The sequence below is a fragment of the Homo sapiens genome, chromosome 7 (genome assembly GCF_000001405.40).
Source record: "Homo sapiens chromosome 7, GRCh38.p14 Primary Assembly".
In the NCBI taxonomy this organism is placed as follows: Eukaryota; Metazoa; Chordata; class Mammalia; order Primates; family Hominidae; genus Homo; species Homo sapiens.
The window spans coordinates 134,046,159-134,064,055 of record NC_000007.14 but is presented as its reverse complement, the minus strand read 5'-3'; the positions used below and the strand labels follow the sequence as shown (position 1 = coordinate 134,064,055).

Sequence of the window (17,897 nt, the reverse complement as noted above, 5' to 3'; positions counted from 1 at the left end):
ATACCTTTCTGTGGCTCAGCTCATTCTACATTTTTTTGCTAATTTTGCATTTACCTTGGGAGAAAGGAAAGAAAAGTAGGGGTATAGCCTGAAGAAGGAGAGAAGGCATTGTTAACAGGTTTTGTCTCATTCAATCCCTCATTCATTCATTATTCATTGGAGGTTTTGTAAAATACTGTACATGGTTTTCTGCTCCATAAAGTGGGTTAATAATAGTACCTACCTCTTGGGGTTATTGAAATAGTTGAATTAATTAATACGTATAAAGCACTCAGAATGGTGGTGCTTCATAAAGATTATTATTATTAGAACTATAATGATGCTAATGTGTGACAGTAATGTAATAAAATTAATAGTAGTATATAAGGATGGGCAAGACACAGCCCCTTTCCTCAAGTAGCTCGGAGACAAGGAGGAAAGGTCCTGAAAAGCAGAGACATAAGGATTCCAGTGCTGTTGACCAAGTTCATTCCCGAGCACTGTGCCACTTACCCCTCACTCCACCCAGGGGCTACACCTCCCTTTTCCCAGATACAAAGACGAAAGCACAGAGAAGTTAGAGGGCTTGCCCACATCACAAAGACAGGGACTGACCATGCCAGGATCTGACCCCAGGTTTCTGACTCTAAGTTCAAGACTGTTTTTTCACGGACACTTGACAACTCACAAGAATATTCTGTGTGCCATAAGTGAGGTCCTAGTACCGTGCGTTAATAGCAGAGGAGGAGAAATCGCACCATGCTGAGGGGATGGTGTGGGACTGAGGAAGACTTCCTGTGGGGTAAGATTCTGTCAGGCAGGGCTTCCAGGAAAGAAATTCTAGTTGGAGGGAAGAGCATGAGCAAAGGCATGGAAGAATAATCTGGTTAGACTGGGGAGTGCAGAGCAATAGCAGAGAGTCCTGGGATGAGGCATTTGAAGCCACAGGGTAGAGCCTCTGAACATCAGGCTATGATTTTAGACCTAGTTAAGCCAATAAAGGACTTCCTTCTTCCAGAGAGCAGAGGTGCCATTCAAAATTGTGCTTCTGGAAGATTACTGTGACAATCAAACGCAGAATGGTCTGGCAGGGCATTGGTTACAATTCTAGCAGAAAGAGGAGACTTGAGAGCCACTTAACGGCAAGGCCATTGGCCTGGCTCTGTCCTTTGGTGGAGGAAGACTTGTGCCTGTAATAGAAATATGCATTATAGGGATTCTTCAATGCAGCAGGAAGATGAAGGTGGGAGTCAGGAAGGGGAGAAGATGACCACTCACCATTCTTTAAACCAATACTATGCCACTGCTATCTCTCAGTCTACTGGACTCTGAAGCTGTGACTTCCATGGCCACTCCAAATTACCCAGGAGGTCAAGTTCAACACAGACTCTGAGCCAGGAAGGCTTATCACAGCTTGTCAGCAAAATGAAGAGTGTTACTCACTTCTCTCTGACGTGAAAGGTAACTTTGCCAAGATCGAGGGGACAGAACCAGGCAGTGCACTCAAGGCAACTCTTGGAGACGAAGCAATCTTCCAGACCTAGCAGGATGAGTGGCTCAGAAATCCTGTATTATTAGACTCAGGGCCGTGAATTTGTTTCTTTCTCATCAGGAACATTTTGAAAAAAAGAACCTCCTATGGGGAAATGAAGCTATCTTTGTGGTAAGAAATACATTCTAGGAGCTCCATAATTTCAGGCCTGTTTTATTGAATTGCTGGTACAAGGGGAATGTGGTCAGGAAGAGTTGTGGTGTCTTTTCACACGGTTAGCTTCTTTTCCTCCTGCTAAGCCTCCTTTTCTAACTAACACACTCTTTTAAAAATAGGGGAGAGAATAATCTTTTGTGAATATACTCTAAATAGTGGCAGAAATGGAAAGTGCTCTTTGTAGATTGGTAAGTTAATGAAGCTCTCCTGCAAGCAAATCAGTCAGCATCCTTGTGTACAGGGGGCTAATTTTCTATAGTGGTTTTAAACGAGTGTTCATTTTGGCATCACAGAACCAGACACATAGCAATCACTGGTCCAGGGTGACCCTGAATATAGACAGAAATACTTGGTAGAAGGGGAGATAAAACTCCACTTCCAGGGGTGTGAGACCCCAGTGCCAGATCAGTAAATCTTTTGAAGTTTCATGTTTAGCATAAAACTCACGTGAACTTTGCATTCTACTCCTTAATGTATCTGCTGTAATTTAAACACACTGTTTCTAAGAAAAACTTGATGCTGCAGGAAGAAGCATCATATTAATATTTATCCTACAGCTCTGCATGTCCCCTGGCTCTCACTGATATTGGCCCCTATTTTGGGAAATGATGCCCTATGTCATCTAATTCTGTTTCCTGTAGATGCACAGGTGATGGAGGGAGTTGTCTATTAATGGAACTTCCTAAGAATATACATTTTTAAAATTGCCCAAGAAGAGCTCATGCGTGCATCGAGATTTACCAAATGAAATGAGAGTGAATCTGGGGCTCACGATTCTTTCAAAGCTAGAAGGAACTTGAAAGCTGCGATTTCTAGACTCGCAGTTCTTGAACTTTAGGGTACCTAAGAATTACCTTGGGGCGCCTATGAAAAGTGCAGATTCCTGAGGCCCCATCCCCAGATATGTGCTTCTTAAAGGTTCTGAACCAGCCACGACTCAGTCAGAGTCTGTTTGGTAGACCAACAGTTACAGAACCACTGTCTCCTTCAACCAAGGACCTAAACGCATCAGAGAAGGCTACAGAAGCAATAAAAGGTTTGTGATGCTTTTCACTGAGATTAAACCAAAAGAACTGGATTTCTTTGTATTAGGATGTTGATATTTTTATCATTTATCTTAAGAAGCAACACTGAGCCCATCATGCCAGATGAAATTGGATTTCTTTTGAAAAATCTGATGAATTGTTTCCAGGGATACTGGCTGGTTTTCTACAGAGGCCATTGTTCCACGCTGGGAGCAAACAACAAAACAAAGATGCCTGCATTTCTACTCTTGGATCTTCCACAGTGTGATGAGTGATAAAGGGCATGCCACTTAAGTCCTTAATGTTTCAATATCCTCTGTGCAATGAAGACCTTTATAAATCCCGGAATGACAGTCTGAAGTGGACTGAGAGACTAAAAGAGTCCTCAAGAGCTTCGTATGAACAGTGCCCCTGAATTGCAAAGCTGAGTTATTCAACAAAATTGACAGGTAATTGATGGTGTATTTTCTATAGTTAGAGAGAAAAAATTCCTCCATAACCATGCTGATATATTAGATCATAAAGAATCATAAATATTTAAAGACAGAAGGAAATTCATTTATCTTTCAGAATGGTACCCAGGAGCAAAGATGACTAAACTGACACAGCAACAGTTTCACCTGGAGGTGGGGAAAGGGTGCTACCAGGTGTCCTAAAGAGAAAATAGAAAAATGCCCCAAACTATACCATTAGAATGAGCTTCCATGATAAACACTGTCAGACTGAAATGAAATCATGTCACCCAATAGGGATAAATAATTTATCAGCACTTATTGAGGCCCCAGGAAATTGAAAGCTTGGTCTTCATCATCGAGCATTAAAATAGCAGCCGTGGCTTCCAGGGCAACACATTTTCCATTTGATGACACTTTGCTGGGGCTGCCTGGATGGGATCAGTGAATGCACATTTGATTGAGACATTTTCTGGCTCATGGTTTGTAGCCCTTCACAGACTCTTCATAGCCTACAATATTCAGCAGTCAATTGCTAGATGTACACCAAATATCTTATTCTGGAGACCAAAGAGTTTCAAGTCACCCTGCTGGATGGAACATTCTGGAAGGAGATGTGCACCTTGCTGTGGCTTCTCCTACCCTTTGCTGTGTGCCTTTTTGCAGCAGTTCCCAAAGTATTATAAGCAGATAGGTGAGGGAGTAGAGTGACAGAGAAGAGGAGGTGTGACTTCACAGACTGGTCTCATGTGCAGAGTCTAGAACATAACAATGTTTATGCTTTGTTCTGGTGCAAACAGATCATTTTCTCTTATCTTCCTCATGTTTGCTTTATCAACAGACTGTTCTCTGTGGCTTTTTCTTTTGTGCTTTATTTTAATGGTATTGCACTGCGACTCTTTCTCCCCCATACATTCTGTCTGAAAACATTTCTACCAGGAAGGAAATACAGGGTATTTTGGAAAGGTGGGCAGATCTTTTTAAAGTTTTAAAACAAAATTTTATCTTCCTCTGATTGGAAAGTTAATACATATGCCATATAGAATATATGGGCCATACAGAAAGATTTCTCATAATTTCATCATAAAGATAAACCACAGTTTGGCATATTTTCTTGTAGTTCGCCCCCACCACATGTAGTGTTCTAGCCAATTTCTTTCTTATAGTTGAAATATTTAGGTTGAAACACAATTGGATACTTCAATTGTTTCCAATTATAAAGACTTACTTTCTCATGGATAGATTTCTAAAAACAGAATTAGTTAAAAGATAAGTATATTATTTAGGACACTTGACAATGCTGCCAAGTTGCTTTCTAAAAAAGCTCTATCAATTTATCCTCCTATCAACAACATATGGGCAGCATCTAACTCACATTCTTTTGATTTGCATGAGGTGGAACAATTTTTCATCTACTTATTTGTTTTTAATGTATGTAGGTATGCGTGTATGTATAAATGAATTGTTGATATCTTTTTATCTTTGAGTATTAGTGCTTTTCTGACTTCTCTTTAAGAGCTTTTCATAAATTTTCATAGACAAGAGGCCAGGGAGTTTTCTCATCCCTGGTTCTACCTCCCAAGTTGGCATACTCAGTGCAAAAATTAGTACTGCATCTCTGAAAGTGATTAGAAACAGTTTCAGTTCCCTTCTTTGCAAATTGAGGGAAGAAATACTCACTAACATAAACTATTCCCGCCCATGGCAACTCTTGTTCCTGTACTTGTAGGCGTTCCATAAACTTTGCCTGTAGGGGTGACAGCAAGGCCCTGACTGGGGAACTGTCCAAGGTCTCTGAGGAAAGCTTTGCCTTTTGCCTTCCTTTACTTGGTAGAATTCAGAGTCCTAGATCCCGGAATGGAAACTGTGTTTTAAAATATACAGCTACGTCTCATGCTGGGTTTTGAAATCTGTCTTGATTGTAGAATATTAATAATAATGTCTAGCTTTTAGGTGCATTTCAATCCTTTTAAATAGGAACTACAATTATCTACGTTATACATATGAGAAAATTGAGATCTACAGAGTATTAGTGATTTGTCTAAGGCCTCAAAATGAAAGACTTTTGAGCCCTGTATTTACTCTAAAACCACCTTAATACAAAAATATTTGAAACTATAAAAAGCAAAAGAACTAACTGAAAAGAATATTTTTATCGCTGACTCATTTGAGTCTTGAGTACACAAATATGAATTAAATAAAATTCCCATACTCAGCTCTTTCTTTGTAATGCAATGAGCCAGTATTGTGGTGATTCAAATTCGTTTGTACAAACTTTGCAGTTATATCTGAACAACACTGGATTTGATCTGGGAATTCAGTGCTCTAAACCAAGTAATGCAGTCATGTTGTAAATTTAACACTTAATTTGGGAGTTTACAAGCAAGAGTTTTTGGCTTTTTCATTTTGTCACCTCTTTTTATTTCTTCCCTTTTTGCCCCTTCAAGTTGGTAATGGATGAAGTAACCTTTCTTTCCAAAAGTTGACTGTCCCTCTGATTCAGTACTTTTTTGGGGAAGGGAGATAATTATTTTCATTGTAAAGACTTTCTCTTGTAGTCCTTCCCAAGATAAAGCTCTAGTATTAATGTCAACAAGTGAATTCTGTGCTGAATCTGACTTCTGAAATACAAATTTGAGAGGGAGAAAAATTGAGCTGAATAAAAGTTAGTATTGACTGTAGCTCCCAACATTATTTTTAGCCAATATCTACAGCATTTTGAGCACTTTAATAAAAACCCAATGGTAGATGGGTCACTAAGTTGTCAAGTGAAGCAGTGAACTCCTGTTTTCTCCAGCCACTCAATGGTATCTATGATAATAACAGGGAAATGACAAGAGAAAAAAGAATAACCCATAAACCAGATAATCATCCCATAAATAATTGAGAGATTGTGGTTATAGCAGAACAACTTAGTGAGGTAAATATTTAAGAGATCAACTAAACTCAGATTCTGGTTAAGTCTTTCATTCTTCGCTACTAACTAGCCATGTGACCTTGGGCAAATACCACCAGCTATCTGGATCTATTTCTCATGTCCAAAACAGAAAGGTTACAGTAGATGCTATATAAAAGCACTGGCATTTTTGGATTTTAAACCTTTACAGCGTCCCCTGCTTGGTCCTTCAAAATCATGGGGCTCCCATCAGAATTAGCTGATGTTGTTTTTCTTCAAGCAATGGTAGACAAGACGCAGTAGCAATTGACTTGAAAACACTCTGAACAAGTGTAATCTCAGCTCAAATGGACTTTCCGACCAATAATAAAATGGATGGTAATCCTGTGTGTCAGAAGAATAAATTAGTTTATTAAAAAGTATAATCTAATTGCTCTTATTTGTATTCCCCTTCGAAGAGCTTAAAGTTTATTACAAACATGATTGAAAATTCTAATTTAAAATGAGCTGAAGTTATTTCCATTTTAGGAATGAGAAAACTAAGGTGGAGAAAAGCTAAATAATTTTCAGACAGTTAGTGGCACAATTAGGTATATATTCTGTATCAGGACAGTTTTTTGTTTTTTTTTTACACTTCTCACAACGGATTGTATAGGTTTTTGTTCTGATCAGGACACGCTAGAAGTGAATAATGGTCTTTAGAAAACATATTGCTTATATTCCCTCAGCTGGTGGCAGAAGAAAATCATTCAAGAGGTAAAGATAGCCTGGGAGTCTGTTCTTTAAGGCTTGCTCGGTCTTCTTTGATCGGTCATCTACCTACCTGTTTTTTATATATAGTGACACATGCACGCACCTACCCTTTGTCAATGGCACTATCCTTAAATGGCAGTTACCAGTTACCTCTTGGCCTTGTCCTGATAACCATCACGCCTCAGCAGTACTGCGGGGGTGGGGGTTCTCCTGGGGAGACGCTGAAAGTTAAAATCAGCTGTTTCACTCCTCTCAGGAACGTATCCTGACATTTTTGATAGACAGCAGCAGCCAGAGACTTGCTTTATTTCTCTTCAGATAATAAAACCACTTGAAACAAAGAAACTCCTCCAGGACATTCCCATCACCGTTGAGATGATGACACACTCCTTGGCTCAGTTACAGTCATTGAAATGGGGAGAAAATTTCTTTTTGTTCCCTTAGCTAGCAACTTTGCTCCCCACCTTTGGAACACGTTCTAAATTTATAAATATCTATGGTTGACATGTCCTCTTCAACAACTTAAGGATTCATATGTCACTCTCTGCTACATCAGATAATTTTTTAAATTAAGTTTTCTACAAAAGGGCTGGAGGAAGATCTGCATTTTAAATTCAGTACAATTAAAACTGTGTCTCTTTGGTCTGGCACTGCCTTTGGTCAAACCCCATTTGTATGAATAATTATTCAGTCCATTAAGAAGTCTGCTCAACTCCTTCTCCCATTTTGAAGGTTTTTATAAATATTGATCAGGCACATTTCTGTTTGCACTTGCCAAGGCAATTCTGATGGATTCATCTTCTGATGTTATCAAATAATGAAATATGAAAGAGTGAATAGAATTACCCTCTTGTTCTGTGATTTTTTTATTTAGGGCCTTCATTTTACTTTCATAATTGTGTTTGTCTCATACTTCTGTAAATGTTCTTTTGATTATCAAAAGGTGAGTCCAGGTTAAGGAGTGCTATTCTGAGCTGAATATCACTTTAGAGTCTTTTCAATTTAAGAAAATAGTTCATCAAATATCACTTTAGAGAGTCTTTCTGATTTTTAAAGACAATTTATCTAATATCATAGGGTGATAAAAAGGACATTGTATTATATACTTTAGTGACCACAAAGCTACATATCATTTAACCCAATTAGCACAAGACTCTTGTAGTGTATATTATCTATATTTTTCAGATTAGCAATCTGGGAAACAACTGCTGAGAGGCCCTACGGCTTTTTCAATTTTTAGTAATAAAATCACATTATTAATTTTTCAATAAATAATGCAAAGGATTTCTTCAAAGCAAAACCTAATGTTATTACTAATGCTTAGGAAACTCTAATAACATTTTAAATGTTAATATGATATAGAAAGGTATAGTCCTTGGCTTCAAGAAGCTTTATTTATTTATTTATTTTTAAAATCTAATCCAGGCTCAGACCAAAAATACCCAAGGCATGAAGCAAATGTTTTAATTTAAAGTAAAGCAAAACTAGGGCTTGGCAGTCTCCCTGCCTGCCCTTGTCTCCTGGTACATAAGAAAGGCACAAAGAGTTGGAGTGCCCTGGACAAGGGATAAAAACAATGCTTCTGCTCCAAATGACGACCAGGGTTGGAAATGAGATGGTGAAGTGAATGGGTAATGGGCTTTCTGTATTTATAATAATGGATCTTGCCCTACCTGTGGGTGTGTGAGGAGAACAGTCAGTGGGAACAGGAATGGACTTCATGGCTTTGATGGGAACATATGCTCCCATCAACGAAAGCGTGATGAGCATGATGCCAGTGAGGCCAAGGTAATGGTTGATTCTGGCAGGTGCCAATTCGTTCTATTTTTTGGCCGTTGACTCTGCCCCTAGCCAGCTACCTCACAATGATGTTAAGACAGGGCTGGGGGAGGCTGAATGGAGAGTTCACTGCAACCCACTACAGCCTCTGGGAGTCTTAAGACGCAAGGACTGCTATTCAGCCATCACTTGGTTGAGTCACTCAAACCCTGATTCCTGACCTTCTGGTCCTGGTTAGTGACTCTAGTACAGTTCTTGAAATTGTAGGAGATCTCTCTGCCTTGCTGAGACACAAGACTACTTCTTACAGGACTGAAGGGCCTCAAAGGAAAATGATTTCGTAGAAGAACCAAAAAACTCTGGATTATTTGAGAAGCGTAAACATATGTAAATCAGCAGGTCCCAGTGGCAAACACTTGAGGGTGTATTAACTAAATCCTTAGGTAATTTATGAAAGAGAGAAAACCTAAATAAACCAAAGCTACAAAATGGGCCACCTGAAATTCAAGGACATGTGACTCAGAACAGATGTCAATTAGAAAAATAATAGACTAACTAGAAAGGAGCTAATGGAAATATGAACAATATCCAGCAGGTTTAATTAAAGACCCAAATACTCTGACAAACGTGATGGATAGCTTTGGATAACAATGTGAATTTGGTGGATGAAAAGACTACTGTGGCTGATACGTATTTGAATGTCAGTGAACCGTTTGATGCAGTGCCTCTAGAAAAATATAACTAGCAAAATGAATTTATTCTGAATGGCTACCCTCGATAGGACACAGGCTGAAAAACAAACAGAGGGTAATGAGAACGGCAAGTCAACAAATGCAGAAAAGAAGCATCTAGTGAATTCTAAGGATGCTGGCTTTAGAACTGATCTCACTTAATACCTTCATTAATGCACAGGAAGATACAGAGTGGTGAAAGGGGCCAATGTTAGTGAACGGGGAGGGGCTGTGAATGGCAACAAGAAAGGAAAAATCACATCAAGGACTCCAGGAAATCTGGAATTATGGGAAGCAAGTAATGAAAGGGGAGTCATCTTAGAAAAACCCAAGTGAATTTGTCTAGGAGAAATTCTAACCTCCTATATTCATTCAATAGTTGGGAGAAACCTTAGAACAGGTGGGTGAATGGTCACTGGGTGGCGAGGAGGAGGTGGGTGTGTTGGGGTGGGTGTTAAGGGCCATGGAACCAGAGCATTTCTTATTTCCTATTTTAAAAGTACAAGTTCTGTAATCCCAGCACTTTGGGAGGCCAAGACAGGTGGATCACCTGAGGTCAGGAGTTCAAGGCCAGCCTGGCCAACATGGCAAAACTCCGTCTTTACCAAAAATATAAAAAATTGGCTGGGCGTGGTAGTGCGCACCTGTAGTCTCAGCTACTTGGGAGGCAGAGGCAGGAGAATTGCTTGAACCTGGGAGGTGGAGGTTGCAGTGAGCCAAGATCATGGCATTGCACTCCAGCCTGGGTAACAGACCAAGACTCCATCTTAGAAAAAATAATTAAAAAATAAAATAAATTAAAATAAAAAGTACCAGCTATAGAGCAAGGAAGTGACATTAATTTGTCTTTGTTGTACTTCATAGTTCTTCTTTTGCTTTATACTGTAAGCCAACTGAAAGAAAATCAGAAAAGAGGATCAGATGGGATTAAAGGGACAGGAGGTTGGAGGAAAATAGAAGATTAAAGGAGATTCTGGTCAATTTTTGCTCAAATGTCTGCTTATCAGTAAGTGAGGTTTTCCCTGACCACCTTATTTTAAATGTTACTTGCTCCATCCTCATCAAGCTTTGTCCTTTAAATGAGCTTTAATTTTCTTTTTAGCATTCATCTCCAACTAAAAAATATATTTCCAAAATATATTTAAAATTATATATTTAAATATATATATATAAAATCAGATATACTTTCATCAGCATATACAATGGTTAAGATCATGGACTCGGGAGCCAGTTGCCTGGGATTTAAACCCAATTCTGCCTCTTCCTATTTGTACAACTTTGGTCAAGTTATTAATCTCTCTGTGCCTTATTCTCTTCATCTGAGAAAAGGAAATAGTAACATAGGGTTGTTCCAAGGCTTAAATGATTAAGAGCAGTGGCTAGACAGAGTAAGAATGTAGAAGCATTTAGTACATAAACAAGTATCTGCTTCCCCCTCCTCCAATGCAGGTTCTACTGGAGCAGGGCTGAATTCTTCTTCTTTTTTTTTTTTTTTGAGATGGAGTTTCGCTCTGTCGTCCAGGCTGGAGTGCAGTGGTGCAATCTCTGCTCACTGCAAGCTCCGCCTCCCGGGTTCACGCCATTCTCTAGAGCAGGGCTGAATTCTATATTCAACTTGCTCCTACCCCTTGGCCTAAGAAGACGGTAACTAGTGAATGCTGAGTAAATGAAAAAGAATGAATGAATGAGACAGCTGATAGTCTATACATGTCATTAAGTATGGCATACAATCTAAAAAGCAGTCTATGATTCTCTGACACTGGGAAAAGAGGAACTATGAATGAAATAATTGATCTGTATAAAACACAAAGGGTTATTCTGATGTAACTCCGGGGGGAGATGGTCAGGATAATGGTCGCTAATGGAAAAGGGGGAGACAACAGAGATCCGTGTTTTCACTAGTGATCTGTAATCCTTCTCAGCTTTTCATTCTCTGGCAGATTTAGGCATGAATCCCACATCTTTTACCTAAGATGCATGACTGGAAATTTCTGAACCTGTCTCAACTTCAGTTTTTTCATTTAAGCATGGGATAAATAATATTACATCACATTAGGTTTGAAGATTAATCAAATGATATGATAGAACACCTGCTATGTGATATAATACAAATGATAAAACTAACTGCTAACTTTGTTTGCATCCTCCTCTGTAGTCTGTATTGGCCATTGTTCATGTATATATTATCTCTATGGGTCTCACAATTGTATGAGGTATCACATCCTCCATGCTGACATACATTAAAAAAAAAAAATCAGTCCTTCCCTCTTGACTCAGAAGAAGAGGGGTTTCTTTTCTTTTTTTCTTTTTGTAAGATTAACCCTATGCCTTTGATCCTCACCCCTCCCAATGCTTTCAAGACTCTGCTGGGTTTTTGTTTTATTTTTAACTCTTGTATCCAGTATCTTCCCTTTTCACTGGTTCTTTCATGTCTGCTTCAAACATCCTCCTTCTCCCATTTTGGAAAAACAAATCAAGAAACAAACCCCAAACCCTTTATGTGATCCCATGTCCACTCCATCTCTCCCCTCGTGTCTTTTCTCCTTTTCATTGTTGAATTTCTTGAACAAATCATTTGTATTCACTGCCTGTCCTTTCTAAGCCTCCAATGTGTCTATGAAAAGGGTCGTCAATGACGTCTTCATGGACACGCACAGCAGCTTTTCCTAAGTCCTCTTTTCCTTGACAGTTTTCCATCCTCAACCCAACTGTCATGGAGCCACATTTTTTTTTCTTTCTTTTTTATTGAGATGGAGTCGTGCTCTATTGCCCAGGCTGGAGTGCAGTGGCGTGATCTCGGCTCACTGCAAGCTCTACCTCCCGGGTTCATGCCATTCTCCTGCCTGAGCCTCCTGAGTAGCTGGGACTACAGGTGCCCACCACCATGCCCAGCTAATTTTTTTGTATTTTTAGTAGACACAGGGTTTCACTGTGTTAGCCAGGATGGTCTCGATCTCCTGACCTCGTGATCCACCCGCCTTGGCCTTCCAAAGTGCTGGGATTACAGGCGTGAGCCTCTGCATCGGCCCAGGTAGCCAAGTTTTTTTTTTTTTTTTTTTTTGAGACGGAGTCTCGCTCTGTCTCCCAGGCTGGAGTGCAGCGGCGCGATCTCGGCTCACTGCAACCTCTGCCCCTCCAGGTTTAAGCAATTCTCTGCCTCAGCCTCCGGAGTAGCTGGGATTACAGGCATGTGCCACCACACCCAGCTAATTTTTTGTATTTTTAGTAGAGACAGGGTTTCACCATCTTGGCCAGGCTGGTCTTGAACTCCTGACCTCATGATCCACCTGCCTCGGCCTCCCGAAGTGCTAGGATTACAGGCATGAGCCACAGTGCCTGGCCCCATGAAGCCACATTTTTAAGGCACTTCTCCCAGCTCCCTCTGAGTTTCTTCTCTGATTCTGCTATTGGCTCTGTGTCTGCCTGCTGCAGGTGTTCCTGCCAGTCAGGTGGGGGCCCTCCATTCTTCTCTCTCTGCTTCTGAAAGTCTTATCTGTGCATATATATAATGCTCAGATGTCTTTCTCAAGATCTGGTTTCTCAGTAGATCAAAACGTCATTTTCACTTGTCTGCAGACATTTCTATCAGCTGCCCTTGTCAGGTGGCCTCCCTAGCCACTGAATTTTGCTTAACGGAACTAGCTTGCAAAACCTCAAAATCTCAGTGTCACCTGGAATCTTCACTCTCCTTCATTTTTTTGGTCCAGTTGTCACCAGGTCTATCAATGCAACATCTTTCATATTCATTTCTTCTTTCCAATCTCACTATCACAGATCCTACACTCTTCTCATTGGATTGTTACAGTTGCCTCTTAACTGGCCACCTCACTCACTCACTCCTCCTAGACTAACCCCCAGTTCTTAGTTGGATCATATCACTATTCTGTATTTAATAATAATAAAAAAAAAACCTTGTGTGTTCACTAGTGCTAACAGAATCAAGTCCAAACTTTCAACATTGACATCCAAGGCCTTTTAAAGACTTGACCTGTATTCCACATTTTCTCCCAGTTCTTCCCTGCTTCAACCTGCCATTCAAACCAAATTGAGCTACTCACTGTCCCCTGAATAATACTTAGTACTTTTTGGCTCTAAGTATCTAGAGCCTACTTCATGTTCAAAATCGCTAAATCCTCTACCCTCTATGAAGCTATCCTGAGCAATTTATTTCTTCTCTGTCACTTACTGCATGGGTAACCCACTTAACATTTATCCTGTAGAATCATATCTTTTTTAAAAAAAAACTCTTAATATTCTTTTTGAGCTGATGATACAATAAAAAAGGTTACTAGGGTATTTACTTACTAGTTTTGTGAACTTGGGAAAGTTATTTAACCTGTAAGCCTTCAGTTTCCTCATCTGTAAAATGAGGATATTGATAGCACCTAGCTCATAGAATTGTTAAGAAGACTAAGCAAGTTAATATTTATAAAGTGCTTAGAACAGCGCCTGGCACATAATATTTTTTGTTACGTAAAAAGATAATGGTACAAAATAAGCATATAGCGTAAAGCCTCTCTCCCACCATTTCCTTTCCTAGAGACAATTACTATTACTAGTTTCCAGGGTATCCTTCCAAATATATTTTATACATATAGAAGCAGTCTTTCTTGAATGTGTGTGTGTATATAAACACACAAATATATCTAAGGATAAATGGTGTTTACATACTGTTCTGCACCTTACTTTTTCTACTTAACAATAGAGCCTGGAGAAGGTTCCATTTCAGTTCATATCAACCTGCCTCATTCTTCTTAATGGTGGCAGAGTACTCAATTGTGTGGATGTACCATTATTAGTATTTATTAACCTCACCTAGACTGTAGGCTCCTTGATGTCAAAGACTGTGTCTTATGACTCTTTGTATCATCCTCACTGCTTATATAGTCCCTTTCGAAGTCCTTTTTAAATTTGTTTACTTGCTCAACAAATATTTCAGCATCAATGACAAACCAGGTAGTATACAGTAGATACTGTGGATGCAGAGGTAAGTAAAACATAGTCCTTGTTCTCTGGCGATGCAGAGTCTGGTGTGAAAGTAGCCAGGCACTGTATGTACTTATAGCAATGTGACAGTGGCCATAATAAAGGTCTGGAGGAGATTCTCTAAGATCACAGGCAGGAAGGGCTGTAGGTTTCTGAGAGCAGCCAGGGAAGGCTTAATAGAGAAGGAGAAGTTGTCAACAATGAGGCAAATATGAAGGAAATAAAGTCCTCCACGAGCAAAGGAAACAGAATGTGTGAACTGGGTGGGACAGTAGGAAGAATACGGTATTTGGGGAAAACGACAAGTGGTTTATTCCTCACTGGAGTGCATGGGGTGTGGGGAAGAGCAAGGAAGGGGAAAGGTGGGCAAGGCAAGCTGGGCCTAGAGCCTAACAGACCTGTGGGCCATGCTAAGATTTTGGACTTTCATGGGTGAGTGGAAGGATGAAGGTGAATTAAGCTTTATTTTGCCTAGATTATTCAAACAAAACAATTACCATTTATTATTACCAAGATTTGATAAAAGAAGGTATTTTAACACTCCTTAAGTGGAAAGAAAATAATCTCAGAACAAAAAGGTTACATGTTTTATTGTGTGGGAAACTCAGAAACTTTTAGTCATTATTTATGAGAAACTCACAAAGTACAGTCATTATTTTTCTAATTTTCGTATAGATGAGGACAATCAGTTTCAGTTTACATACACCCTGGAATCTGGAACCAATGACAGGGAGGAATCTGGAAACAGACGATTTTAGAAAGAAGTCACACATGATGACAACTGTTTTAGAAAGACCTTTCCAGCTGCAGCATGGAGGATGGACCTGAGGGTAAGAAAGCCTTCAGACTGTTGGGCAACTTGGCTATTTTTTTTTTCTAGTACCAGACCACGCCAATCTTCTAGAAGGTTTCCTCACAACTCCACATCCCCAAGCTTGTAGCTAAACAAAATCAACCTCAAAGAGAGAAGGATGGCAGCACCTCAGTAAAGAACAACACATCAGGCTCTCACCTCTAGTATGTCTCCTTCAGGTCAAATGTGACCTGGGGCCATTAAAATACACACAACTTTACTGAGATGAGGCCGGTGGCTGAAAGGAAAGAGAAGGCTAGCAGTGAGAACATAAGAAATAAGAGGACACCCTTTACTCAAAGGTTCCTCCTAACCTACTCCTCAACTGGTCTGGTTGAAATGTGAGGGAGGGGGACTGAAACTGCCTTTGCAAAAATTGTAACTGAGAAAGTTATTACAGTGAAAGAGAACCTGACCTAACAGACTCCATCTTGCCTCTAACCTCCAAGGTGTCCTTGCTCATTCCTGGGCATATGCTGAACTAACTTTGAGAGAAACTTAGCTTATAGTTAAACTTTGATGACAACAGCACTTTCTCAAAACAAACCCCTTCCTACCTGGGGACTAGACTGTCTTTGCAGGACTAAAAAATTACCTACAAGATTCAAAATTATGGCTTAGGAGTCATGCAGCTGGAGGCTGTAAAATTCTGAACCTCCCCAAATTGCTCCCGGGGATAACATCACTATTGTTAAACCTAAGATCAGTGCTTAAGATACTTTGCAGACCCTGCACTCAGTGGATCTGCTGGCACCACCCAAATTAATAAACTGGCTCATCTGGTCTTGTGGCCCCCACTTGGGAAATGTCTCAGTGCAAGAGAACAGCTTCAATTCCCTATGATTTCATCTGTGACTCAACCAATCAGCACTCCCTACTTTCTGATCCCTTGCCCACCAAATTATCTTTAAAAACCCTGATCCCTGAATTTCTGGGGAGATTGATTTGAGTAACAACTCCATCTACTGTGTGGCATGGCCAGCCTCGCATCAATTAAACTCTTTCTTTACCGCAAGGCCATGGTCTTTATTTGTGCAGCAGGCAGGAAGAACCTGTCCGGTTAGGTTACAGGACCTAAGAGCACAGAGTATAAATCAGGAGTACAAATATGATCTCATTTAAACTCTTGACAAACATACAAGAAAGGCTTGATAACCTTAATTTGGCAGATAAATAAAGGGTCAGAGAAGGTCACAAAACCTCCTTGTGATGGACACGACTCAAACTCTAGTTCATCCAGTTCAAAAGCTCAAGCTCTGATTCTACTAAAGTGATGGGGATTTGCTGGGGACACTGGGAACTCCTAGAGTCACTGTTACATAGCAGGAGTTTACATTAGATTCTTAGTTGTAGAATGGGGATTTGTGCCTTTGGGGGGTGTCTGGAGTGGAATGACATACAATAGGATAAAATTAACCATAGGCAAATACATCCTGAGAGTCAGCAGAGAAAATCAGGCATTGTAGGAGAGAATAGCAATTTTTTTTTTACGTGGCCCTTTCCATACAAAAAGACTAATACTGAGGCTGCTCCACAATGTGGCTCTCCTAAGTCTACATATAAAGAAAAAAGGCCTTTGAGGGGAAAAATATAGAGAGCATTTGCATTCATTTTTTAGGACGAAAAAGTATCTGATTTGAAAAAACCTCTCAGAAAGGGCTACATTATGAGAGGAAGGTCTTCAGGCAAGTTTAATGCCTCTATTTAAATGCTAATGCTAACCTATAGCTTTGGACCACACAAAAACTAAAGTTTTTCAAAGGCCATAAAGTCAATTTAAAATGAAACCTTAATTTCTTTAAGAAAAGATATTTTATTTCTGAAGAGCCAGCTAACACACATAATTTCATAAGAGCAGTACCAATTTGATCACACCAGTGAGGAGGTAGGCGTGTTAATGGCAGAGGCTGGCCAGCATCCAGTGTGCAGGGGCTGCCTTTGTCACAATTAGGAGTCCTCCTCAAAACATCTGCCTTTGGAGCGCAACATTTGCCCCCAGTTGTCCCTGACGGGGGTTAATGCTCCCCCTACAGCCCGCCCCACTCCCCTGAACTGTTTTTTGTAATGACCTGTGCTGAGAGCTTGCTGGTGTTTAGAAGGACAGCTGGGGACAAAAGCGAGGAGAAAATGCAAAGGCATGGGAGTCCCTGGGTTCAGAAGAAGAGGCCATGGGTCCTGAGTGCTTGGTGCTGCTTTGTTTTCCCTGGGAACCAACATTAACGAACGCAGGTAACTGAGGCCTGGAGTACTGGGGAAAGGTCTCCCGGGCTCAGGGGACCACGTACTTACTACCTGTATTAATAGATAACACAAGGAAACAAACTCAGAAAAAAAAAAAAATCAAATAAAATTAGGAAATGCCTGTGGTGAGGGCCATGACTTAGGAGGGGACCATCTGAGCCGTCTTTTTTTGTTTTTTTTTTTAAGACATAGTCTTACTCTGTCGTCCTGGCTAGAATGCAGTGGTACGATCTTGGCTCACTGCAACCTCTGCCTCCCAGGTTCAAGCGATTCTCCTGCCTCAGCCTCCCAGGTAGCTGGGACTACCCACGCCTGACTAATTTTTGTATTTTTATTAGAGACGGGGTTTCACCATGTTGGCCAGGCTGGTCTCGAACTCCTGGCCTCAAGCGATCCGCCTGTCTCAGCCTCCCAACGTGGTGGGATTATAGGCATGAGCCATTGTGCCCGGCCCTGAGGTGGTTTTAACATTCTGTATTTTTATAGGAGTGATG

General features: G+C 40.3%; 1 protein-coding gene across 10 annotated transcripts in view; it reads right to left on the bottom strand.

Moving 5' to 3' along the window:
* The window catches only part of EXOC4 (exocyst complex component 4), an 847,874-nt gene that overhangs the window by 36,896 nt on the left and 793,081 nt on the right, over positions 1-17,897 (bottom strand). The gene's annotated exons all lie outside the window — the stretch shown is intronic.